The 26,007-nt window shown below is 46.6% G+C and overlaps 1 protein-coding gene and 1 long non-coding RNA gene across 6 annotated transcripts in view; both read left to right on the plus strand.

The window, feature by feature from the left end:
• Positions 1–26,007, plus strand: part of SDK1 (sidekick cell adhesion molecule 1) — a 967,749-nt gene that overhangs the window by 631,453 nt on the left and 310,289 nt on the right. For all 5 annotated transcript variants that reach the window (NM_152744.4, XM_047420038.1, XM_047420037.1 and 2 more), the window contains 2 exons: positions 18,219–18,330; positions 19,026–19,216. In NM_152744.4, the coding sequence (NP_689957.3) occupies positions 18,219–18,330; positions 19,026–19,216 (303 nt within the window). The remainder of the gene's footprint in view (positions 1–18,218; positions 18,331–19,025; positions 19,217–26,007) is intronic.
• LOC124901576 (uncharacterized) lies at positions 19,231–25,583 on the plus strand. The gene is made up of 2 exons (XR_007060195.1): positions 19,231–19,334; positions 25,336–25,583. It is a non-coding gene; the product is annotated as an uncharacterized LOC124901576 (long non-coding RNA).

Here is a 26,007-nt window from a genome sequence, read left to right on the forward strand (position 1 = left end):
GTTCTTCACTATCAAAGCATCCCTGTGCCTGGCTCGTTCTGTGGCCTTGTTTTCTCTGCTCCTGGTCCAAAACAATGACCCACCCATTCCCAGAGATAGACAGGAGAGAACAATGTGTACACAAAAGAGAGGGACAGAGAGACCCCCAAAAGAAGCCAACACCCACCTCTGTCTCACCTGTGTGTTCAGATAGGGTGTGGCCGATTGTGCTGAGCCTGATTATTTACGCTTCTCAGAATCAGGGCTCTCCACTCAGGACAGTGAATCCCCAAAGAGGCTGAGCCCAGAACCTGCCCTGGGGGCAGCTGGTGCCACCGTGCTGGTAGACGACACAGCCCAGCCAAAGCCACCTGGAGATGAGGGTAGCACAAATCCTCTCTCCATCCTCCGCATCCTCCGGCGGGAAATGCTCCTGGATCTTTTTTTTTTTTTTTTTTTTTTTTTGAGACAGGCTGGAGTACAGTGGCTTGATCATAGCTCACTACAGCCTTGACCTCCTGGGCTCAAGTGATCCTCCTGTCTCAGACTCCTGAGTAGCTGGGACTACAGGCTTGCACCACCACTCCCAGCTAATTTAAAAAAAATGTTTCTAGATACAGAGTTTTACCATGTTGCCATGGCTGGTCTCAAACTTCTGGGCTCAAGTAATCTTCCTGCCTCAGCCTCCCATAATGCTGGGATTACAGGTGTGAGCCGCTGCACCCAGCTGATCCTGGTGTTCGGACACGGGATGCTGTTCCATTCCTGGAGCTGTTTTGGAATGAACGCTATCAAAGGATGTGGTTAGCTTCAGTTGTTTACTGCTCCTCATCATTTTGGAACATTGAGTAGTCTGTCACTTGATGTTGGTTAGGATAGAACCCCTGCAAGATTTTCTTCCTCAGAGTTCATGCTCCTCAAACTTGAAATAAACAAGACACTGATTATCTAAAAGCATGGCAGAGGAAGTGTTCATTGATATATTTGTATAAACCTTTGCATTTAAGGTGGGAATACGTGAGAAAAAAAGTGCCCTATGACTGATAAAAATATTTCTTCTGTTCCAGGTACTACTGCCTTTCAGCATTTGGTTGTGAATTTCTAACTTGAGAAGGTCTGGTTTTACTTAAGATATGAAAAAATAAAAAGGGGGGTGACCTGTTGGTCCATGGAGTGCCCTTTGTGGTTAGAAACTGAAGCCCTAAGAAACCTGTCTCTCAAAAGGTTGGCGCTTGGTTCTGTGTGTTTTTCCCATGGCTAGGGGAAGGTGTGGAAGAGAAAGCTTTCTGTTTGGTGTTGTTCCTGTTAAGAAAGTCTTCAAAATGTAACAAACAGTCCTGGGGGCATTCACCAGCCGCACGGCATCCAGGCAGGCCTCTTTGTAACTAGACGGTGAATTTACCTTCTGCCTGAATAGCGGTAATTTCTACTCTGTGAGTTGAACAGTGGTATCTGTAGCAAGAGAAAATAACTTCAATTTAGTCAGGTTTTCTAAAGATCTTCCTTGTATTTTAAGGAGGGGCCATAATTGTGAATTTCAAGATACACTTTCTGAACAGACTGTGACCCCCTTCCCTCTTATTTATCTCCTTTTTTCTTTCTCTCCTGTGTTCAAACCATTTGTTAAGACAATTTTCTGTTTTCTCCAGGGACTGGGGATTGAATGTCTTTGTTCTTGGTTTATCTATTAAAGACACTTTTCTAGTTACAGATACTGTTTGTGAATCACAGGCTATGCAAAGAACATCTGATTATCAGCGGACTGGAGCCCAGCAAACAGTCACAAACATCCCAGAGCTTTCCTGCCTTTCTGAAAATGTGCATGCAAAATTCTTGACATGAGGAAGTTGTAGGAACAGGTGTTGATGTCTATTTGGAAAGTGTAAAGTTACACTTATGCAATTTTAGCAAACATCTATTAGGCACTTACTGTTTGCCAGATGCTCTGAAGCATGCAGGGATCCACAAGTATCACGTGCCTTCCAGGAATTTGCAAGGAGTGGGGCCGATAAGCACGTGTCCAAATGCGCAAGGCTGAAAGAGATGGGCTCTTGTCCTACTTTCCCCAGAAGTAGAGCCTGTGAGCTCAACAAAGATGTACGTGCAATAGTGCACTGAGCGGTGACCCCAGAAAGTGTGAGTAGAGGAGTGTGCAAAGGACACAGCATGGAAAGGCACTGGTGAGCTCTCATCAGTGAGCATTCATCAGTGTGGTGAGCAGCGAGGTTCAGCCCCGAGGCAACCCCAGGGAGACTGTGCAAAGCCCCTTCGGTGTTGCTTACCCAAGGAGGGGAGGAAGCCTGGATATTTATGCATCAACTCCCCTCTTGTATTGGCAAGAACAACTTTGAGAGCATTCTTTTCTGTCTGTCTGCCTCACCTTTGTAAGCCGGTCATATCTCTGGCCACAGAATGGCCTTTGGTAGGAACTGATGGGTACTTGCAAAAAGCCCTGGGCCTGTTGGTGAATGGTGAGTGCCAGGGACGATGGGCAGGGCACAGGCAGCACCTGCCACAAAGCCATATTAACAGAGTGTAGCAGGTGCACCCCACACCTGACACCGTGTACAAAGCTTAATGCAAAATGGGTCAAAAACCTAAATGTGAGACCTAGAACTATAAAACTCCTAGAAGAAAACTTTATGACATTAGATTTAGGAATGATATTGATAACACTAAAAGCACAGGCAACAAAAGAAAAAATCAAAATTGAAAACTCTTCTGTATCAAAGGACACTGTCAACAGAGTGAAAAGGCAACCTGTGGAATGGGAGGAAGTATTTGCAAATCACATATATAATAAGGGATTAAAATCGAGACTATACACAGAATTCCTACAACTCAACAACAGAAAAAATAAGCTGATTTAAAAATGGGCAAAGAACTGGAATAGGCATTTCTCCAAAGAAGAGATACAAATGACTGGTAAGCACATGAAAAAATACTCAACATCACTAATCATGAGGGAAATGCAAATTAAAACCACAATGAAAGACCACCCCACTCCCTTTAGGATGGCTGTAATTCAAAACAGAAAACACAACAAAAACAGAAAGTAACAAGTGTTGGCAAGGATGTGGAGAAACTGGAACGCTTAGGTACTGCTAGGAGAAATGTATGACGAAGTAGCCTTTGGAAAACAGCATGGTAGTTCCTCCAAAAATTAAACGTCAGGTTACCGTATGGTCTAGCAATTCCACTTCTGGATATATACCCAAAAGAGCTGAAAGCAGAGAGTTGAACAGATGTTTGTATGCCTGTTTATAGCAGCACTATTCATGCTAATTAGAAGGTGAGAACAATCCAAGTGTTCATGGACACATCAGTGGATAAACTCAATAGAGTCCACCCACACAGTGGAATACGATTCATTCTTGAAAAGGAAGGACATTCTGACACATGCTGTATCAATGAACCTTGGGGATGTTATGGTAAGTGAATTAAGGCAGTCAGCAGAAGACAAATACTTTGTGATTCCACTTCCATGAGTTATCTAGAATCAAGTTCACAGAGACAGAAAGTAGGATGGTGGGTGCCAGGGGCTGGGGAGGAGGAAGTGGGGAGTGAGTGTTTAATGGGGTGCAGAGTTTCAGTTTGGGAAAATAAAAGTGTTTTGGGCCGGGCACGGTGGCTCACGCCTGTAATCCCAGCACTTTGGGAGGCCGAGGCAGGCGGATCACAAGGTCAGGAGATCGAGAACATCCTGGCTAACACGGTGAAACCCCATCTGTACTAAAAATAGAAAAAAAAAATTAGCCAGGCATGGTGGCAGGTGCCTATAGTCCCAGCTACTCGGGAGGCTGAGGCAGGAGAAACACGTGAACCCGTGAGGTGGAGGTTGCAATGACCCTAGATCACGCCACAGCACTCCAGCCTGTGTGACAGAGCAAGACTCCATCTCAAAAAAAAAAAAAAATTTTGGAGATGTATAGTGGTGATGGCTACATCACAGCTTGAGCGTCCTTAACGCCAATGAACTGTTCACTTAGAAATGGTTAAGGTGGTATTTTATGTTTTGTGTATTTAACCCCAATGGGGGGAAAAAAAGAAGTATACCAAAGTACAAAGAGGAAAGGCCACTTTAATCAAGGGTACTGGGAAGCCTGCCTGGAGGAGGCGCTGTGTCCTCTGGGCCCTGCTGGATGGGTGGGATTTCAGGAGGCAGCAGTAGGGGTGGGGACGAGTTAGGAATGGAGAGAGCTGTTACAGGTGGGGACACTCAGGTCCGAGGAGGGCAGAGGGGAATGTTTCAGAGAATGCCACACGGTCAGGTGTAGCCGAAGCTCAGGAATGTTGGAACTCGGAGAGGCTGTGAAAGAGAAGCCCTGGCTGCCTGGCCATGATCATCATGTGCCTGGTCTTGACTGGCATGTCAAGAATACTGTCCGTGCAGTGGCGTGTGCCCCAGGAGCACGGCAGTTCTCAACAAGACTGCACCGAGATCTGGAGATGAAACTTCTCAGCTCTCTTACATTTGGCCATGCGGAGGTCTACCCAGGAAGGACAGCCTTGTCCCAAGGACCTCACTCTGTTCACTCAACAGGTATTTATGAGGCCCCTATGACATGTCAGGCATTGTTCTAGGCCCTGGGAATGTGGGCAGAACAGGGCAGATGAAAATGCCTGTGCTCATGGTCATGCGTTCCAGTGGGGGAGAGACAGACATGAACAAAACCAGCACAAGTCATTCTTCAGATGGAGCTGAGAACCACGGGGAAGACCAAAGGCCATGCGGCAGAACCACCCAGCCTGCAGAGGCGGGATCATCAGGGCAGTGTCCTCACCGCTCTTCTTAAACACTGGGCTTAACAGGAGGCTTTTGTGGACATTAAAAACAAAATCGCAGGTCCGTTTGGATCCCTCCATTCCAAGGTTTAAACACAATGGTGTTCGCTGGACGGATCTAAGAATCTTAGCCACTCTGCCTAGCAGCCTCTCAATGTTTTGTGTCTCTCGTTTCAACTTTGAAAAGAGCTTTGTGCCAGGGAGCTCCTGCAGTTTGGGTCGAGGAGGACCAAGGCTTCAAAGGCCCCTGCCCGCGCGTCCTGCAGGTTCCCATTGTCCGTGTTAATAGCCTCAGATGGGCATCAGTTGCCCTGATGGGCTTGGGCTCCACGCCCGGGCTTGCATGTTTGGCAAAATTACTCAAGAGCATTTCTTTTTTTTTTCTTTGAGACAGAGTCTCACTCTGTCGCCCAGACTGGAGTGCAGTGACGTAATCTCGGCTCACTGCAACCTCCGCCTCCCATGTTCAAGCAGTTCTCCTGTCTCAGCCTTCTGAGTAACTGGGATTACAGGCACCTACCACCACGCCCGGCTAATTTTGTATATTTAGTAGAAACGGGATTTCACCATGTTGCCCACACTGGTCTTGAACTCCTGACCTCAGGCGATCCACCTGCCTTGACCTCCCAAAGTGCTGGGATTACAGGCATAAGCTACCGCACCTGGCTTCCAGGCCATTTCTTATCACAGCTAAAAGTGATCTGTTACGTGGCTGGTTACATTCTCAGCAACTTTAGAATTCTATTCAGAAGTGGACCTAATCTTGAGACAAATACCCTCTTACCCCTTGGTCCACTGAAAAGACTTATGATCCCAGTCTTTCTATTGGTGATGGTTCTTCTATTCAGTGGGAGATTATGCATTTATGTGTTTGGATAGAAATTAGATCCTCAGCCTGGCACGGTGGCTCATGCCTGTAATCCCAGCACTTTGGGAGGCCGAGGCGGGAGGATCACAAGGTCAGGAGATCGTGACTAACCTGGCGAACACGGTGAAACCCTGTCTCTACTAAAAATACAAAAACAAAATTAGCCGGGCGTGGTGGCAGGCACCAGTAGTCCCAGCTACTTGGGAGGCTGAGGCAGGAGAATGGCGTGAACCTGGGAGGCGGAGCTTGCAGTGAGCCAAGATCGCGACACTGCACTCCAGCCTGGGCGACAGAGTGAGACTCCGTCTCAAAAAAAAAAAAAAAGAGATCCTCAGCTGTTGTTTCTTGAATCAGATATTTGGATCACTCTAGCATCCAATCATGCAGCTCCTAAATATGCTCCTAAATCATGCAGGTCCAATCACGCACCTGTTTTACGGTTTATCAATTTGTGCTCATCCTGAACTAAATAAACAAATCCATGAGCCAACTGCAGCACTGTCTTTTATCACCTTCGTTTTTCTCTGCCCAGTAAAAAGCTGAAGAAGATACATTCTTTGTTACCTTCCATTCATTTCCAAATGTGTAACTTTTCAAATATGTTATAAATGAGAAGAAAAGAAACTGCTGGATTGTCAAACTGTCATTTTATTTATCGTCTCTCGTCAGTAGAAAAGTCCAGAAGCAGTGCGTTGAGATGAAAATGAAGGTGCGTGAAAGAGAGAATTGGAAATGGGATATACGACCGTATTTCCTCTCTTTCCCTTTCCCTCCCTCCTGCTGGGCAGGAAACGAGAAGAACCTAGTCAGCGGGGAATACCTGTCTCCAGGGAATTTTTTGGGATTAGATCTTTTGGGGTTGGGTTTGTGAGGGGGCCTGCCCTGTCCCCACACATGTGATTCCTCTCACTGCACAATCCTGATGCCTTTGGCATTCGTGATTGCCTTCTGGATGATGAACTATAAAGGAGGCAGCTCTTAAAAGAATAGAAAATGTCTTCCAGACACAACAAAATATACACTCAGAAATGTATAAACCAGCTTCCCACGTCCAGGGGCTGGGCCAGTACAGATTAAGAAGGTGAACGTGTGGAAGGTAAAGGGTGGGAGGAATTTTCTATTTCGTGAACTTGTTTTTTTCTTGTTAGAAAGGAAATCACAGTGTATTTCAGTTTCCACAATAAAGTGCATCTCAGAATTGCCCAGGTTCTGCCACAAGAGACTTACCTCTTGGTGGGCTGGGGATGACCTGGATCTCCCTGCTGCCTGCACGTCTTTCACTTTGGACATTTTAAGAAAAAAATAATAATGTATCTGGGTTCTTGGAGATATATACATATATATGTGTATGTATATCTGAGTCTCTTTAAAAATAGGTATCCCGGGAGCAGAGCCACAGCCTGAGCTATCCAGATGCCTGCTCCCCTTGGTGGAAAGAGATCCGACACACCTGTTGCTCTGAGATGCTTTTGCAGACAGGAAAGCTCTTAATTCCTTTGCTAGGCCATTTTAACAATGCAGAGAAAGGTGACAGTCTTCACGTAGTCCCAAAGGCAATTAATAAGCAAAAAACTTACCTGATTTTAAGTGAAGTGTCACGGAGCTGTCTTCACCCAGCCCATGAAAAACCACCAGTGCACCTTGAGACGCGTAGGCAATGTTCAAGGCCAGGAAAGACTCACCAGTTCCTGTGCTTCCCATTGTCAGAAAGCAGGTGGAGGATGGCCGGAGCCACCCTGGCTGCAGAAACTGACCTACAGAACTTCTCATTGTCAGAAAGCAGGTGGAGGATGGCCGGAGCCACCCTGGCTGCAGAAACTGACCTACAGAACTTCTCATTGTCAGAAAGCAGGTGGAGGATGGCCGGAGCCACCCTGGCTGCAGAAACTGACCTACAGAACTGAACAGAATAGTGATTCAAGTTGGATATTTAGAATATCTAAACGTGCTTTGCGGGACAGTGAAACCCTGCTTGGTGGAGGTCAGGACTTCTGCTTCTGTATAGCTCTGCATTCCTTAGCCACCGTCCTGCAAGGCAAACGCGAAAACGCATCTTAAAACTCGAGCAGAAGTAGCCTTGGTTGTATGCCTGAAAATGCCTGTTCGTTTGGAAAAAGACAATAGCTTCCCGTTTTATGGCATCTTCTTCTTCCTTCCCAGCCCTGGCCATCGTTCTCACTGTCCTCAGCGGACTCCCTGGGCCTCCTCTTTAAAGGTCAGTGCTGACCGGGTGTGGTGGCTCACGCCTGTAATCCCAGCACTTTGGGAGGCTGAGGCACTTTGGGAGACCAGCCTGGGCAACACGATGAAACCCCGTCTACTAAAAATACAAAAAATAGCCGGGTGTCGTGGCAGGCGCCTGTAATCCCAGCTACTCCGGAGGCTGAGGCAGAAGAATCACTTGAACCTGGGAGGTGGAGGTTGCAGTGAGCCGAGATCATGCCGCTGCACTCCAGCCTGGGTGACAAAAATAATAATAATAATAGTAAATTAATTAAAAAAATAAAGGTCAGTGCTCCCTGGCTTCTCTGCAGGCCATCTCCTGTGCTCACTCCTCACACTCTCATGGAGTGGCCTCTTGATCTCCTACTTTCAATCACCGCCCATGTACCCCCTGAACCTGCGCACCTGGGTACCCCGCAGGCACGTCTTAGGAAGCTTGGGCAGCTTCTGCAGAACGCCTTCCCTTCTCCCTCCTGACCCACCAGCACTGCCACTCCCAGACCCCCGTCTGTCTCCTGAGCTTTCTCCCTTATAAGCTGCCCAGCCACCCACCAAGCAGCTCAAGCGAGAAACCTGGAGAGAAGCAAGGGGTCTTAGGTGCCTCTGTCCCTCTCTCCTCTCCCTTTGTCCCCTTCTGTCATACTCACCCCCGTCTTTCTTCCTCCTCTTAGCAACACCCTTGACCCATTGGACTTTGCAGCCTTTTCCCAAACCGTGTGGTAGGCTTTGGTTGTGGCTCCCTGACCGTGCTCCCACCCGCTCTAGACAGTGTGCAAGCCTGGCCATGGCTTTCCTCCTTGACGCCCTTGGCTGCCTCTCCATTCCCTGATGGATCAAGTCCACACTCCTGAGTGTGGCGCTCCTGCCTCCTCCGTGGCCAGCTGTGGCCACGCCCATGCCCCCCCACTGCCCCTCAACCACCAAGAACTGCTTCCTTTTTCCCAAATGGGCCAAACGGGTTCCCTCCTTTTCTCCTATTCCTGAAATGCCTTTCCTTCCATTGTCTGACTGGGGGATGCCTATCCATCTTCCCTGCTCAAACCTTTCCCAATTTCTCCTGGAAGAACTGACCTCAACGCCACACCCACACTCCACGGCCTGCCATCTCCCTTCTCTTTGGCTTTCGTAGCTCCGCCACAATGTGCTTGCTCTGTTCATGTGGCTGCCATCCTCCACCAAACTCGAACCTCTTTGACGAAGTGGACGTTAGGCAGTTCAACTTTGTATCCCCAGCACCTGCCACCATGCTCCTGAAATAAGAGGCAGTTGTTACAGTTGCAGTCATCCTGTAGCAATCGTGATCTGCTGGTGATAACCAGCCGTGGTATATTTGGACAAGACTTCATTCTTTTTTTTTTTTTTTTTTTGAGACACAGTCTTGCTCTGTCGCCCAAGCTGGAGTGCAGTGGCGTGATCTTGGCTCACCTCAAGCTCCGCCTCCCAGGTTCATGCCATTCTCCTGCCTCAGCCTCCCGTAGCTGGGACTACAGGCGCCCGCCACCATGCCCAGCTAATTTTTTGTATTTTTAGTGGAGACGGGGTTTCACCGTGTTAGCTAGGATGGTCTCGATCTCCTGACCTCATGATCCGCCCACCCAAGCCTCCCAAAGTGCTGGGATTACAGGCGTGAGCCACTGCACCCGGCCAAGACTTCAGTCTTCTCTCAGCAAGTGCTTATAGTCAGACTGTTGTCATTTAGGCACTTTGCTGGGTACAGAGATAAATAAGACATGCGTCCCTCCTTATTTCACATGGACCAGCCCACCAGCAGGTAATGACTCTGCAGAGACGGGGCAGTGTCAGAGGAGCAGGGGTCCCCAAGGCAGCAGCTTGAGAGGGATCCCTTCATCTTCTCTCCAGATAACCAGTTGGCAAAATTCTAAAGCATTTTTCTAACTGTTATCTTATCTGGACAACACGATCAAAAAATACTATGATAGGATGTTGGAAAAAGATTTAAAAGAAGCCAAAGAACATATTGCTCAACATTGAGCTTTTAAAATAGGGTCTTTTTCCGTGTGTGTGTGTGTTTTAAAAAAATGTTTTCTCTTGTTTCTACAAGTTTTAGACCAATTATTTTTGGAGCAGGAAGATACTGAGTTTTCAGATGGTCCTGTAGACCCCCTTACCTGCTGGTTTTTTGGTGGAATCCTGTTTCTACAAAAAGAAAACCCCATAGATGTAGACACACTAAAAAGGAAAACCCTGGAGATTGTTTTTAATCTTAGAATTTGTGGCACTTGTACTACGGTTTTTCTCGTAACAAAGCCGCTTCTCGTTGGAAATGTCTATTTATGTGGTTCATGTTGCCCATGTCCACTTGGAGGTTATGCCTGAGTCTCATGGCTCAGGGAGAATATGACTCAGCATCTTTTGGTTGAGGGCAGCTTTGACCTCATTGTTTTCTGGTGTGGCACAGGGAGCAGCCTGGCCACGTGCGGGGAACGGCCCATGGCCTGTCCCTGTTCGAGCTGGCTGCTGCGAAAGTTTCAAGAGGCGTATTCGCCAGGAGCACTCGGCTGTGAATCCAGACACGGAAGACAGTGGTTTTAATAGAGTAAACCAAAATGTAGGATTTGCTCTCTCCGATATTCTGGAAAATCCCACTGCTTTAGGGCATAGACTTTTCCTGAAAATAGAAGGCTGTGTTTTTTAATGAGGTGCTGAGATCTTTGTAACAAAAGTGGGGGAGCAACTGTGCTCAGAGCCCTGAGGGCAGGATGTTCCCTCTGAGCTGTGGCCGGACTTCCCGCCTTCCCACCAGGCTCAAGGTTCAGCAGCCACCTTGGCCTCTGCCTCCCCGTCCCCTCCCTTCTTTCCCCTTCTCCCCCCACTTCCTCCTCCTCCGTCCTCCCCATTTGTGCTTCAGGGTCTTGCATATTCTGGTCTCCCTGCCTGGAAAGCTGTGTGCCCAGCTGCCTACAGGGCTGCTTCCTTTCCTCTCCTCCTTCAGAGCGGAGTCCATTTCCCCCACCCCACCCCTGCCTCCTGGTTGTGTTCCTAGCGCGGAGGCTCCCTGACCAGCTCTTGCTCATTCGACCGCTCCCCAACCCGGCGCACGGTGCGGGGCTGCCGTGGAAGGGGCGTTTTCCATTCATCCGACTTTATTTGCAGTGACTCCACAGCTTAGCAGTTCGGGTTAACTTTGAACTTTATTTTTTTTCTGTTTCAGAGACTTGATATTCTTTAAATGTACTTTTTAATTAAATGCGACCTAGACAGCTTCTCCCTCCTCAGCCTCTTCTATGAGTAAAGAGGTTCATGTGGGGGAAATTGACTAGGATTAGGCTTCATTTCCCTCTGCTGCGTGTTCTTTATTCCTGTAACTACAAAGAGGCGTCATCTGAAGTGTTTGCCTTTCTGCCTCTGAAGCTACCTGGCGCCCGTTGGTTGCTGACTTCTGCAGAAATCCTCCTTTGACTCAGTGTCTTCACCTCCAGCCACCTAAAACCAGCCTGGGAAACGTTCAGTTGAGAACACTACTGTAAAGTCTCAATTAAGGAAGTGCTTGAGGGAAGGAGTGTTCTAGTTAATTTTTGCTTAACAGAGCACAACCAGTGTTTTTGTTAGGAGGAGGCAGCATTATGTAAAAGAAAGATTATCAACTTTGGATGAAGACATTCCATGATTTAAAGCTTTTCTCTATCACTTGAAACCATGTGACTTAGGGCCTCAATTTTCTCATCTGTAAAAGAGGGATAACAATCGTTATCTTACTGGGTTGTCACTATATTAAATGGGCAACATGTGTAAATCATTTACCAAGATGTTTTGTGGCTGCATGGCAGCTTGGCAAAATAGAATTCCTTTCTCTACTTTTGTTTTCGTTCTTGGAACTGAGGCCTTATTCGTTGGTATATGGCATTTTAAAAATGTTTTGTTAATGTAGGACGTTGAAGTAGAAGGTAATAGTAGCGGTGGCTCTTAATTTTAGAATCTTTATGATAAATTAATCATTGAGTATTTGATGAGTGTTTATTATATCTCAGATATGCAAATAATAGAAATAAAGAGGTTGTTTCATTCTTTTAAAAATGCTTAGATATTCTTTGCATCTTCTAAAAATTGAACTTGGAAAACCTTTTGGTAGAAAAGCCATCATGGCAGGTAAAAAATGTCGAAGTCCATCTGTTGACCTCTTCTTGCTTACAAAAGGAGCAAAAAACCCACTCAAAAGCAGTAAAAGAGGAAGAGACGTAGGTCCACAATGACAAAAAGAAAGGGAGAGGAGCCAGTACCGATGAAGGATGAGAACAAACACCCAGAAAGCAAATCTCAGAGGGAGGCATCACAACCACCTGGGGAGAGGGCCTGAGCCTGAGGACACTTGGGGCAGACTTGGTCATGGAGGGGCTGGTTATGACAGAGAGCTATTAGCTACTAGCATGGAGGGGGAGCCATTGCTAGTTTGTATAAAGAACAGTCTATGTTGTAATCCCAGCTACTCAGGAGGCTGAGGCAGGAGAATCACTTGAGCTTCGGAGGCAGAGTTTGCAGTGAGCTGAGATTGTGCCACTGCACTCCAGCCTGGGTGACAAAGTGAGACTCTGTCTCAAAAACAAACAACAAAAACAGTCTACTTGTAACCCCTCAAACTGTAAGCAGAATACTTAAGCTAGATTAAAAAGGTAGATGAACAGACAAACAGAAAGTTATAGATAATGAACAGCCCCAGAGAAAAGACATCCACACTCTGGGATTTAGCGTCCCTTCGGAATAATAGTGAGTGTTTCACTTTATTAAAGTGAAGTCGTCAGTTGACATCTCCTGGTTCATTCATATGTATAAAAGGACACAGGGATCATTTGAAGAAAGCCCTTCCTGTAAAAGGTATATCAAATTAACAAAGAGGGAGAAAAAAGATCCCAGAGGAACACAAAACAGAACTTCAGAAAGTATTTATACTCTCCGAGACATTTAGAAATGTATTTCACCCATGAAACAAGAACAGGATGCAATGAAAAATGAACAGAGGACAAAAAGTTAGTCTTGGGAGTCACAATATGGTTACTGAAAATAAACATCCAAAAGACCAGTTAGAAGATAAAGTTGAGGGCCGGGCTTGGTGGCTCACGCCTGTAATCCCAGCACTTCGGGAGGCCAAGGCAGGCGGATCACAAACGAGGTCAGGAGATCGAGACCATCCTGGCTAACATGGTGAAACCCTGTCTCTACTAAAAATACAAAAAATAAGCCAGGCGTGATGGCAGGAGCCCGTAATCCCAGCTACCCAGGAGGCTGAGGCAGGAGAATGGTGTGAACCTGGGGAGCGGAGCTTGCAGTGACCTGAGATCGTGCCACTGCACTCCAGCCTGGGCAACAGAGCAAGACTCTGTCTGTAAAAAAAAAAAAAAAAAAAAAAAAAAAAAAAAAAGATAAAGTTTGAGGTGCTCTTTCCAAAATTAAAAAAAGGAAAATATTGGAAAAAAGTAAGAAGCATGTTGAATCAATCCAGAGTCCTAAAATCCAACCAATAAGAGCCCTAGAAAGAAAAACACAGAAAACAGAGGGGAGAAAATTATGAAGGAACTAACGCTATCAGGTATGCATGTCTAGAGTGAAAGGACCTTTCAGTTACCTAGCACAATGTATAAACCCCCCTACACTTAGACACGTTTTATTTTATTTATTTTTTTGAGACAGGGTCTTGCTCTGTTGCCCAGGCTGGAGTGCAGTGGTGTGATCATAGCTCACTGCAGCCTCAACCTCCTGGGCTCAAGTGATCCTCCTGCCTCAGCCTCCCAAGTAGATGGGACCACAGGCACAGACCACTAAACCTGGCTAATAAAAAAATTATTTTTGTAGACATGGGGTTTCACTATGTTGCCCAGGCTGGTCTCAAACTCCTGAATTGAAGTGATCCTCCCACCTCAGCGTCCTGAGTAGCTGGGACTACATGTGTGTGCCACCACACCTGCTAATTTTTTTTTTTTCTTGGATAGAGACAGGGTTTTGCCATATTGCCTAGGCTCATCTCAAACTCTTGGGCTCAAGAGAGCCACTCACCTTGGCCTCCCAAAGTTCTGGGATTACAGATGTAAGCCACTAAGCCTGGCCAAAAATCATTTTTTACCTCATTCAAGAACTTTGAAGACTTACTTTTTTTAAGTTATTTAAGGATACTCTAGCTAAGTGAGGACATATGCCAAGAATAAGGAGACAGTGAGGTCCAGGGAACGGCAGGTGTTACCCAAGAATGCAGCGGAGGAGAGTCTCAGAGTGACGAGTCCACACCAAACAGGAAAGGGAATGTCTCTGTGTTTAAAGGGAGCTGGGTAGATTGCCTTCATGTGGGTAAAAGAGAACAGTACAAAAGGCTATAAACAGAATGCAGCCATTTTTGCCACTCACACCAGAGGCGTGCTTTTCTCTATTTAGCCCTTTGTGCTAATATTTAACTCCGTGTCTTAACAATATGTGTCTATTGCTAGTTCTTGATTTGCCAATTTTAGACGTTACCTATTGACCTTCTGCTGTGATGGATGAGCTTTTTACCTCATGCCTCTTCACACATCCTTCTCAAAATATAGTCCAAACAGTATGTGTAGGCCTTTTGTTATTTACCATTGTAACTCTAAGATATATACATGAGCATGCATGCATGCACACACACACACACGCTTCTTTATTTCTTGTAAACTGGAAACAGTAGCTTTTCACTCCCTGTTGTGTAATGAGAAGCCACCCTCACCCCCAATTCTCTTCTGCTCTTCCACCTCACTCCGTCTTCTGCAGTTTCATATCGTCCAGGTTAAAAACATTTAAATTCTGTTTCCTAGGCACAATTACATCTGGCATTTTAGACTATGGATTAATTCTAAAGTTGAAATAAATATACACTGTTTATATTTACTATGTAAAGATTATCTACTGCACAGCTAGACAGTATAGAGAGATTATATTTCTTTCTTCTACAGATTTTTTTCACCGGGATTTCTAATTGCCTTTCCTTTTAAAAAGAAGTATTTGCTTGTGTGTGTGTGTGTGTGTGTGTGTGTGTGTGTGTGTGTATTTTTTTGTAAACATGGGGTTTCACTATGTATATCTTTTAAAAATACATATATATCTATATGTGTATCTATATCTGTTGCTTAAAAATATCTGTATCTATATATCTTTTTAAAATATACACATATATATTTATATATATTTAAATTACACAGGTAAATAACAGAAGAAGTAAAAATCCTGTTTGAAAGTATCATGAAGTGGTGTGAGCTAAAAGCTCATCTGTTGTAGCAGAAAGTCAATAGATAATGTCTAAAATTGGCTAAAAACAAGACATAGCAATAGATGCCTATAATTTAAAGACATGGAGCTCAAAACTAAGATAAAACACTAACAGATTTAGGGGAGATTGCCTTAGGGAGAGGGGGTATGGTTTTGTTTCATTTTAAGCCTCTCTGTAATGTTCTTTTTAATTTATGTGCACATATGAATTTGATTGAAATTTAAAACAATTTTTTAAAGGAAGAAAATATACCAGGATCATGTACTACAATGAGCACTATCCTTGCTATTGAAATATCTGGATTCAGGTCACGTAATATTCTACTGAAATGTTTTTGTGCAGTCTCAACAGAAAATGCATAGCTTTGCCATCAGAAGACCTATATAACCTTGACCTTGTTGTGGTGGTTTCCATAAGTCAGATTCACCTTGCAGGTGACCTTGTGTGTGTATCACCATTGCTTTTTTTTTTTTTTTTTTTTTTTTGAGACGGAGTCTCGCTCTGTCACCCAGGCTGGACTGCAGTGATGCCATCTCGGCTCACTGCAACCTCCACCTCTCGGGTTCCAGCGATTCTCCTGCCTCAGTCTCCCGAGTAGCTGGGACTACAAGCATGTGCCACCACACCCAGCTAATTTGTTTTTTTGTATTTTTAGTAGAGATGGGGTTTCACCGTGTTAGCCAGGATGGTCTCGATCTCCTGACCTCGTGATCCACCCGTCTCGGCCTCCCAAAGTGCTGGGATGACAGGCGTGAGCCACCGCGCCCGGCCACCACTGTTCTTTTAAGGCTGTAGGTGAATCAACACGAAGGAGGGCTTCCTCCTCCTGTGGTGGAGCTGAACCCCGTGATGGATGGATGTGTGCGGTGCCTGCGGCACTTGGCCCTGCGGGGCTGCGAACTCAGCCTTGGGGCTCATCTGTCCACAGCACAGCCCCTTGGAGTCTGCCAGGAGCTGAGCCCCCACCAGTCTGGGGAGGAGGGACTCAGTGGCCCAAGGACCATTCTCCTCAGGCGTCCTCCCCAGTCCTGAACTCAGGCTTCCTCATCTGCCACCGTGGCTGAGCAGTGATTAATGCCAAATTAGCACCCTGTTCAATGACCTTTCAGCATTAGCCACTGCCTCCCTTCACTTCACATAACTATTTGCAAATATTAGCTTCTCCGGCCGTTTCTCCTCATCAGCCACTTTCACAGATGACAGGCAGGCCGTTAGTCTGATTGGCATTCCATTCCTGTCCTTTGCCCCATCGTGAGTGCATCCGGACTCTGCCATCTTCTCAGAAATCTGATAACCAGCCCAGGAATGTTGGCAATTTTACAAAGCGAAGGCGTCAGCAGGAAGGTTTCCGGAGAAGCTTCGAGGGTCCGCTGCAGAGTTGGAGAGTCTAGAGATGGGGAAGGCTGCCTCAGCCCCCCAGGGACCCAGGGCTGGGTGAGAGTCACCCTCACATTATTCAATCAACATATAGATTTTAAAACATTCATTACTTGGCTCTGTCTGCATCAGGCTTCTGTTTTTCTTTTAGAATTCACATGCACGTTTAATACAAAAATCTCATACTGCTTAGGCAGTGCAAGGCAGAGCACAGAGCTGTGGGAAATCAGAGCTGATGAGAAGCCCGTCGTCTCTTTCCCGTTGTTCTCTCTCCGCGGCCCTCACCCCACCGCCAGCCGGGCAGGCTAGAACCTTTCAGTTGCCAGAATCCTCCGCTGCCGCTCACGATGGTGGCGAGTCCCTTCAGCGTGAAGCCCAGATGAAGCGTTTTGCGTTTGCAGTCATTTCCATTTATTTTTATTTCCAGCCTCTTACATCTCCGCCCTTTATTGAAATCCCTGTTCTAGAAATGTTGGATTGGTCTTCATTTTCTCTAAATAAACAGTAGTAAAGTGTACTGTGGGTAGTTTAATTTTGATGTTAAATGTATTTTAGAGAAAAGCGGCAAAAAATATGTCCTATTTTTTTCTCCCTTGTCACCAGAAGTACGAGATAAATTATTTATAGTTTGATACTCAAAAAACATAGATTCAGGATATTTACTTTTCAGAAAGGAAAAAAGGATTGAAACTGCAGTAACAGAACTGAACCCTTTGTTAATTGAATATATTGGCTCCAGGGAAGCATATTTGGACAGGAGTAAGAATGCCCACTGCTTTCCAGTGACACCCATGCCTAACGTAGTGGCTGATACATGAAATATTTGTGGAATTGAACAGATTTGGAAATAGCAGGTAGACTAGGTAACTCAGTAAGCAAACTCTTAAATCAATAAAAGAAAAATAAAGCCAGCAAGCATTTTGGAAAATGCCAAACAGTTTAAATAAAGCCCCTCAGCCACACAACACACAGAGCAGTAGCGTAAGGCCCGGTAACCATGCCCGGTAGGACAGGCTGTGGATTGTGCCTGAGGACACTGGCTGTGCTTGGACCCCATCTCATGTGGTCTGAGAAAGGCCAGGGACAGTGACCCTGCCCCAGGGCTTCTCATGGGAGTTCAGGTAGGGGCCATGAAATTTGGGTTTCCTATTAGCGTGACTCTGACAATAGTCTTCATTTGTCATGCTCCGATCATCCCATCTTCTATCTGCCCTTTCACTTTCTGTGGTTTCCATTACCCTCCGTCAACCATGGTCCGAAAATAGGAGAGTACAGCACAGTAAGATATTTTGAGAGATAGAGAGGGACCACATTCGCATAACTTTCATTACATTATGTTATCATTGTTCTGTTTCATTATTAGTTGTAGTCAGTCTCTTAGTGTGCCTGATTTACACATTTATGACAGGTGTGTATGCAGAGGGAGAAAGTTTGAACAGATGCCCTTCCACTCACAATGGGGTTATGTTCCAATAAACCCACCGGAAGTTGAAAATATCGGAAGTCAAAACGCGCTTTTGTAGCCCCGTTGTAAGTTGAGGACTGGACTGAATGTGTATGGCTTTTGCACCATCATAAAGTTGAAAAGCCCTGCGTGGAGCCATCATACATCAGGGACAATTTGTGTCTGTAGGGATTGGTACTCTCTTTGGTTTTAGGTATCCCCGGGGGTCTTGGAACGTGTCCCCTCAGATAACGGCGGGGGGTGCTCCTGTACTTAGAGTTTCATGGACATTTCTCTTTTCTCTGCCACAGGAGATGTTGGCACACCTGAAACCATGGCCCCAACCATTGTGGTTCCCCCGGGCAACAGAAGTGTGGTGGCTGGATCCAGTGAGACCACCTTGGAATGTATAGCCAGTGCCAGGTACGAGGCGCGTCTCCTGTGAGACTCCTAGTAAATATTCCATGACCTGTGACGAGCCGACGATAGAAGGATACACTGGAGCATGAGGTTCAGCCTTCTAGCGACAGTGGTCTTGTTTGGCCGGGTGGGCCATGAATACGAGATATGGGTAGATAAGGAAATGGACACACTGATGTCTTCCAGAGTCCCCCACTGCAACAGGGCGGTGCTTTCAATGCAGCTCTGGGTGGTAGTGGGGGGCTCCTCTGAGATCCTCTCTAGGGAAGAGAGAGGAGTTGAGGCAGAGGAAAAAGTTCATTGCTCTTCTCCTCTTAGTCAGCCAAGGTGTTCTCTGCCTACTTAGCGGTCGCTCCAGAATCAAGCTCGGATGATCCCGCCTTCCATGTCGTTGTGTCCCCTCACAGTATTTATTTTAAACATTCATTTCCTGAGCAAATGGGATCATTAGCACTTATGGTCCATTGCTGCGGCAATTAGATATCCTTGCTTAATAGCCCTTGAGCAGAATGCATCGTCAATGCGTGCTGGGAGGGAGTAGAGTTACATCTAGATTGAGTTTTCAGTGTCCGTTGTTCAACCCACCATGCACCCTGGTAGCATTAGCTTCGTCAAGCCTGTGCCGAGTGCCTGAGATGATGACCGTTGCCACCTCCCTGAGTCACAATCGTCGTCATGAATGCCTTTCATTCCCACAGGCCTGTGGAGGACCTGAGTGTGACCTGGAAGAGGAATGGAGTGAGAATCACCAGTGGCCTCCACAGCTTTGGAAGACGCCTCACCATCAGCAACCCGACGTCCGCGGACACCGGGCCATACGTCTGCGAGGCGGCGCTGCCGGGGAGCGCTTTTGAACCGGCCAGGGCGACGGCCTTTCTTTTCATCATAGGTAATGCGGGAGCCTCTAAGTGGTGTTGCCAGCATCTCAGATAGCATCCGACACTGACTCTTCTGCAGAAACAAAATAGCGTATTTCAGTGGCTTTATTTGTAACTCGGCAAATGAAGGTGAGGTTGAGTTTACCTTCGAAATCCTTCCTAGCCTTCTTTCCCAAGAATATAAGTCCATTAAATCCAAAGTGTTGATGTTCTCAATCCTTCCAAGAAACGTCCTTCTGAATACTCCAGTCACAAAGCTCGGGAAATAGAGCGGTGAAACCCCTGTCATATAGATCCCTCTCCTATTCTAGCTTTAGGCTGCTAAGCTTTTCTGTAACTCTTATTTGGCTATCGTGATCGGTGTTCAGAAACTATTCTATTATTGCTGTCCAGGCATGGTGGCTTATGCCTGTAATCCCAGCACTTTGGGAGGCCAAGGTGGGCGGATCACTTGAGGCCAGGAGTTCGAGACCAGCCTGGCCAACATGGTGAAATCCCGCCCGTCTCTACTAAAAATACAAACATCAGCTGGGCGCAGTGGCGGGCGCCTATGATCCCAGCCACTCGGGAGGCGGAGGCACGAGAATCACTTGAACCCAGGAGGCAGAGGTTGCAGTGAGCCAAGATCGCATCATTGCAACCCAATCTGGGCCACAGGAGCAAAACTCCAACTCAAAAAAAAAATTATTAATTTAGAAATTATTCTATTAATTATTAATTTAGCTGTTATTTTTTGACCTAGCAGAAAATGTAAAACTATCGGATGTTACCTTTTGTTAAACTTAAAAAAAAAAAGAGAACAGAGATGCTTCCTCAAACTGGGCGACATATTATTCCTGAACCAAGGAGAAAGAACATAAAATTAAGTACACTGGAGTTGCCCAGCTCTAAATGCTGGAAACTATTAGTGTTTAGGGAGTGTGCATTGTACAGTGGCTAAGAAAATACAAAACCTATTATCAGTTTATGAGGAGGTTAAGTTGTGAGGCAAGTGACTTTATTTCTCTCATTTTTCCAGCTACTGTCATGCATTTATTCTTCATAAGTGGCCGTGATGACTATGAGAGCAGCCTGTGTTCCGCAGTGGTAGCCGCTGTTGATAAGAGGTAGCCTTAGAGGCCGCCTCTAGGAAGGAGAATCTCGACTTCCTCTCTCCTCTTTGGGAAAAAGGGGAATTGAGAACAGGAAAATTCAAATAAGAAAACCCTCAGAGAGCCCCTTAAATAAAAAAATTTGCAGTCTGCCACTTTGCAAAATAAGGAAAAAAAAAAAAAAGCTTGTGTTTTCCTATGAAACTAGCAAGAAAAGGAATACTGCACAAAAGGTGGTTTACCTTGATCACGTCCCATTCCTTTAATCATTAGGAAATGACTCCATGTCCTGACCTTGACTCTTCTAAATACAATGCAGTGCAAACCTGTCGGTCCCTCTGAAAGAAGCGAAAGTCTGTTAAAAGCATCCAAGGAAGCCGGCTTTGAGTCACCAATCACTGTTGATTCTACATGAGAGGCCTGAGCTGGTATTGCTACCTTCCCCATCCATGCTTCCGCTACAGATGTAAATATCACATCCCATTCTCTGCAAAGATTTTTTCATCGAGGTTGATCTGTAGTTCTAGGAGCACAGCACATTATAGATTCAGCCAAAATTAAAATTTGCGACGTGTAAATCTCTAGTAGACAGGACTATACCGTGTTCAAACATTTTAAGGTAATTTAAACAAGAGAAGAAATTTATCTCCCTTTAAACGAGAATGTTTGTTTCGATCATCATTCCTTTTTAAAATATTTAAATCTATCTTAAGAGCTTTAGTTTTACATTTATATCTGATTAGTTTTGTGTTCTCTCGAGTTAGCACCTCTCCGTGTTCTGACTTTTAAAGGTACACAAACACACTTCACTTCTTTATGATGTTGAGTTAAATCCCCTTTTATTCATAAGAATTTGCTGTAGCAGGTAGGATTTTTGTGGTTGGCGCACACTGCAAAAACCCTGAAGAGAGTGTCTGTGTCAATTCCGAGGGATTTGGATGAGATTATAATCCCACGCCCTGTGGCCGAGCATTATTGGTTTCACAGGGCTGTCACCATGTACCTGTCAAAAGGGCCACCCGTAGGAGCACACAGGCCAAAGACAGAGAAACAAATGGGCTCCTATTACTTGTATTTTATACTGATGACACAGGACAGGCTAGTTGGGCTGTTTGCCCACCTGCCTGTCTATGTTGCTTAATTTCTGTGGCTTGAATGAGAGCACAGAGGTCGGCTTCCAGGCACCACCCCGCCACTGGCTGCCCAGTCCTGTGGAGCAGCCCCTCTACGCCCTCCACCCTCCCCTCCTGCCTCCCCTCTACACCCTCCTCTCCCGCATCACCTCTACACTCTACAGCCTCCCCTCCTGCCTCCCCTCTACACCCTCCCCTCCCCTCCTGCCTCCCCTCTACACCCTCCCCTCCCCTCCTGCCTCCCCTCTACACCCTCCCCTCCTGCCTCCCCTCTACACCCTCCACCCTCCCCTCCTGCCTCCCCTCTACACCCTCCCCTCCCCTCCTGCCTCCCCTCTACGCCCTCCACCCTCCCCCCTCCCCTCCTGCTTCTCCTCTACACCCTCCTCTCCCCTCCCACCTCCCCTTTACAACCTCCCCTCAACACCCTCCCTTCCCGCCTCCCCTCTATACTCTCCGCCCTCCGTTCCCACCTCCCCTCTACACCTTCCCCTCTGGCCTCCCCTCTACACCCTCCGCTTCCGTCCCACCTCCCTTCTACACCCTCTACACTGCACCATTCATGGGCTTGAATGAGTGTTGGCCTCAGTTTCCACATCCATAAAATGGAGATGGATGTAGATGGTACCAGCTCATATTGTGAAGGTTAAATGCAAAAATGTCTGTCACAGAGGCTCTGAAATAGTGGCTTTAGTTGCTGTTGGCATAACTCTATTATCCTATATGTCCCATTGCACTCGCTATTTACCAATAATCAGTTATGTGACACACATTTTTCATGTTTAGTGTCTCTGGAATCAGGATGTGCCTCACCACCTATGAAACCATTTTTTTTTTCCTTGGGGTAAGACAAGGATGCCCCTTACCTCTGACTGCAGCACCTTAGTGCCTGTGAGATGCATCTTCCCTCCGAGCCACGCCTTCTCCACGGTCTCCTCATCACACACGAAGCCAGCTGCTCCCACATGTGCCCTGCTCCTGCTGAGCACGATGGCTCGGAAACTCGGACGGCGAGTTTTCACTGGGATGGACTCTTTACCTGGTGGGGCATCTGCTGCCAGCCCCTTCAAGTTGTTCATGGAATTCAGTGCTTGTGGCTTGGGGGCTGGCTCCTGGCCAGGGGTCCCCTCAGGTTCCAGAGTCCCCTGCATCCCTGGCTCATCTCCAGAGCCAGCAGCTGCGGCTGAGTTCTTGTCACACATGGAAGCTCTCTGCTGTCCCCTGTGCCTCCAGCTGCAGAAAGTCCTCTCCTTTTAGGGGCTCACATGATTAAATTGGGCCCACCCAGCGAATCCAAGAGAGTCTCCCTATTTTAAGGTGGGATACCTAATCCCACCTGCAGAGTCCCTCTTGCCAAGTGAGACAGCATATTCATAGATTCCAGAGGTGTGGGTGTGGACACCTCCGGGAGCCGTTCTGTCCACCTCGGTGGACTAGCGTGCAGTGCAGGCCAGCCGAGGGCATGCGTGGGACATGCTGCTCCCTGAGAGGGGCGACCTGGAAGGAACAGGGAGGCAGCGCAGGAAACATCTTTGGATCTTGCAGTGATCCCTACACAGAAGAAGCTTTGCAACTCAGAAGCCAAATCCCAGCAGCATTGGGGATGGGAGAGCAGGAAAAATGCATGGTGTTGTTGGGGGGTCCTTCTCCACTGCGGTTGCCTCCATTGGGCCTGAGCCTGCACTTTGTCACACTGGCATTTTGGAGAGTGAGGTCATTTGACAGAGGCCCTTGGTTTGGGGGCAGTCTGGGAGGTCTCCCCACCTCCTCTCCTGAGACTGGGGAGCTAGAAGCTTGCGCTGCCCCTGGAGGCAGCTGCCATGGGCTCTGGGCCATGTGGAAGGCGGAAAATCTGAGCTGGCCTTTTCCTAACACCCTGACTTCACACAGGGCATGAGAACCTTTCCCTGATGTCTTCATATTGTTTCAAAAGAGGGAGAAGTGTTTGTTTCCATCCCCTGTTTTGTTGGCTGCAGTCAGGATCAATTTTCAGAAGTCCAGGGTGGACCCATGTTGGCAGAGTACCCTTTCTAGACACAGTTGCCACTGACAGGCTAAGACATGCCCTCGCCCTCTTGCCCTCTGAAGAGTAAGTGGTTGAGAGTCTATGCACAGGATGACTCATTTACAATGGGTTTTCCCCAGTGTTTAACTCACGGGCTTTTCACGGTCCATAGGCTTGGCATTTCCTCCGGTTCTTTGCCTTAGAGCAGACTGTGTGTAAAACCGTAGCTGGAAATGGGGAGAAACTCCATCTGAGCAGCCGCTGGGTTAGAATACTAGGAAGGGTTGGCAGGGAGAGAACTCGTACCCTCACACGGTGGGGAAGTACTAAGGGAAGCTCAGAGGCCACGCAGGGCATGGGCAGCTCTGCACCTGCTCCCCAGGCACAGCGACCTGGAAGGCTTTCCAGAACAAGCTAAGAGCATCCACAATGAACAGCCAGATGTTTTCCACCCATGCCTAGCACTGAGCTACTAAAACTGCCCAGGACATTGGCCCCTGCAGGCGGTGGCAGGCTGCCCCCCAGACCTTGCCCATGCCACAGTACTATGGAGAGTGTGGAGTGGGATGAGTTTTCTCACCAGGTGGCATGCTGTGTGCCAAACACAGATGGTCCCTGGCTAGGGTGGAGAGAGGTCACCACTTGGAGAGGAGCAGCATCGTCTGGGCCTGGAGGTCCCCAGAGCCATGCACTTGCTCAGCCAAGCCAGCTTCGGGTCACTGTGTGGAGTGCCCGTCTCCCTGACCCCAGCGAGGTCCCTTCCTGGCACTCGAGGGAAGCCTCGGGGGACTGTACCAGGCGACAACGGTAATCAGTACCTCAGGGAAGGCACCCTGGGCCCGTAGGTGCCGACCATTGTTATCTATGGATTTTGTATCATCAAAGCACAGGTCATCTTGGGTGAATCTCAAGGGAACCATGAAGAGTGAAAAAAATAGTTGCAAAAGTTACACTCGATGACCTCCTTTCTGTAACGTTCTTGAAATGACAAACCTACAGAAACAGAGAACGGATTAGTGGTTGTGAGGGGTGGGGGTTTGGGGTGCTCCTGGTCATGGAAGGCAACACCCTTGTGCTGATGGACACGTGGACCTACACACGTAATAATGTTGCATGGGACGTGCATGTGCCGTCTTTTCACGCACACTTGAGCGCAGGAAACACTGGCAAGAGCTGGATAAATTAGGTTGATTGTATCAGTAGCAGTATCCTGATCATGATGTTATGCTATCGTTTTTTGCAAGATGTTACCATTGCGGGAAGCCGAGTGAAGGGTCCATGAGCTCTTTCAGTGTTACAGTGTTACTTCTCACAACTGCACGGACTCGACAGTTTTCTAAAAAGAAAACGCTCAACTAAGAAGAGGAAAACTATAATTAATCATAAGCAAATGTTGTTGTCGAATGTATGTTTTTTTCCTTTTTCCTTCCATGCTTTTAATCAGATCATGACGGTAGATATTGACTTAGCTTCCCTGATGAATACAGGTCAGGACCTGCACACAAGGGCCCTGACAGCAGGCAGCTACTGTATGTATAGTTGGAATATAAATAATACTGCCTTCATGATTATTGATTGAGGAAACGTGATCAAATGGGGGATGTATGAGTTGTGCAATGAAGATGAGCTTGAAAAAGGTAGACATTAAATGCTGGCAATATTTCTTCAGGCTTGGTCTGTACACATGAAAACTTAAGTAGAGGAATCTGCTTCCTTCTAATGAATTTGCAGCCATCTCCTCAGCCGGAGTGGTTGATTCAGGCAGATTCTTTCTGCTTGAGTGGTCCAGGTAATCGCAGAAGTGAAACATCACTTTGCCTCCTTCCAGAAACCTTCAGCCGCTTCCCCCTTAATCGTTTCTTTGAAATGCTTAGTTTTCATTTCTCTTTTTCATCTTTTAGGTCCCACCTTGTTTTAAAGATACAGTCAATATAGGAGGCATGCCAAGCTATCTTATCCACATTCAACACAATTATAATGAAAGTAAACCAGCTCTGGAAGACAGTTCCCAGAAATTAATTATCGCACAGAAAGTGAACACAACAGCCTTTTGTTATCATGATAATGAAATCACCACCACCTTAATACTTGACAAACTTGGCCATGCCTCTGTTGAATTTCTGCTGAATAAACTGGAAAAATGTTGCAATTGGCTCTCCAAGGAAATTCATTGTTTAATACAACCACTGTTTTTTTTTCTGCGGAACGGGCGAGTGGAGTATCGAGAGATTGCAAGTGCCTAGGAGTTTCCTTTGCTACTAAAGATAGATGAGTGCTCCCTTATATGTTTTCTCTTAGTTATTATTTGGTATTCCATTGAAGTATTAAATCTCTATTTTGGAGAAGAACTGCTAAGAATTTTAAAAATATGTTAATAGGCTGTTGCCCAATACAGGCTGCACACCTTCCTCGGGCACTTGACAAGCTTCACGAGCTCGTGTTTAGTTTAGATACTGAAGCAAACTAGCCCATAAAATACGGTGCTGTAAATATAAACCTTTACGAACCTCTTGGGGTAGTCCTTCTAAAATGTAAATTAAGATATTCCATGATTCAAGCCCATAAACTGAAAA

The sequence above is a fragment of the Homo sapiens genome, chromosome 7 (assembly GCF_000001405.40).
Source record: "Homo sapiens chromosome 7, GRCh38.p14 Primary Assembly".
Lineage (NCBI taxonomy): Eukaryota > Metazoa > Chordata > Mammalia > Primates > Hominidae > Homo > Homo sapiens.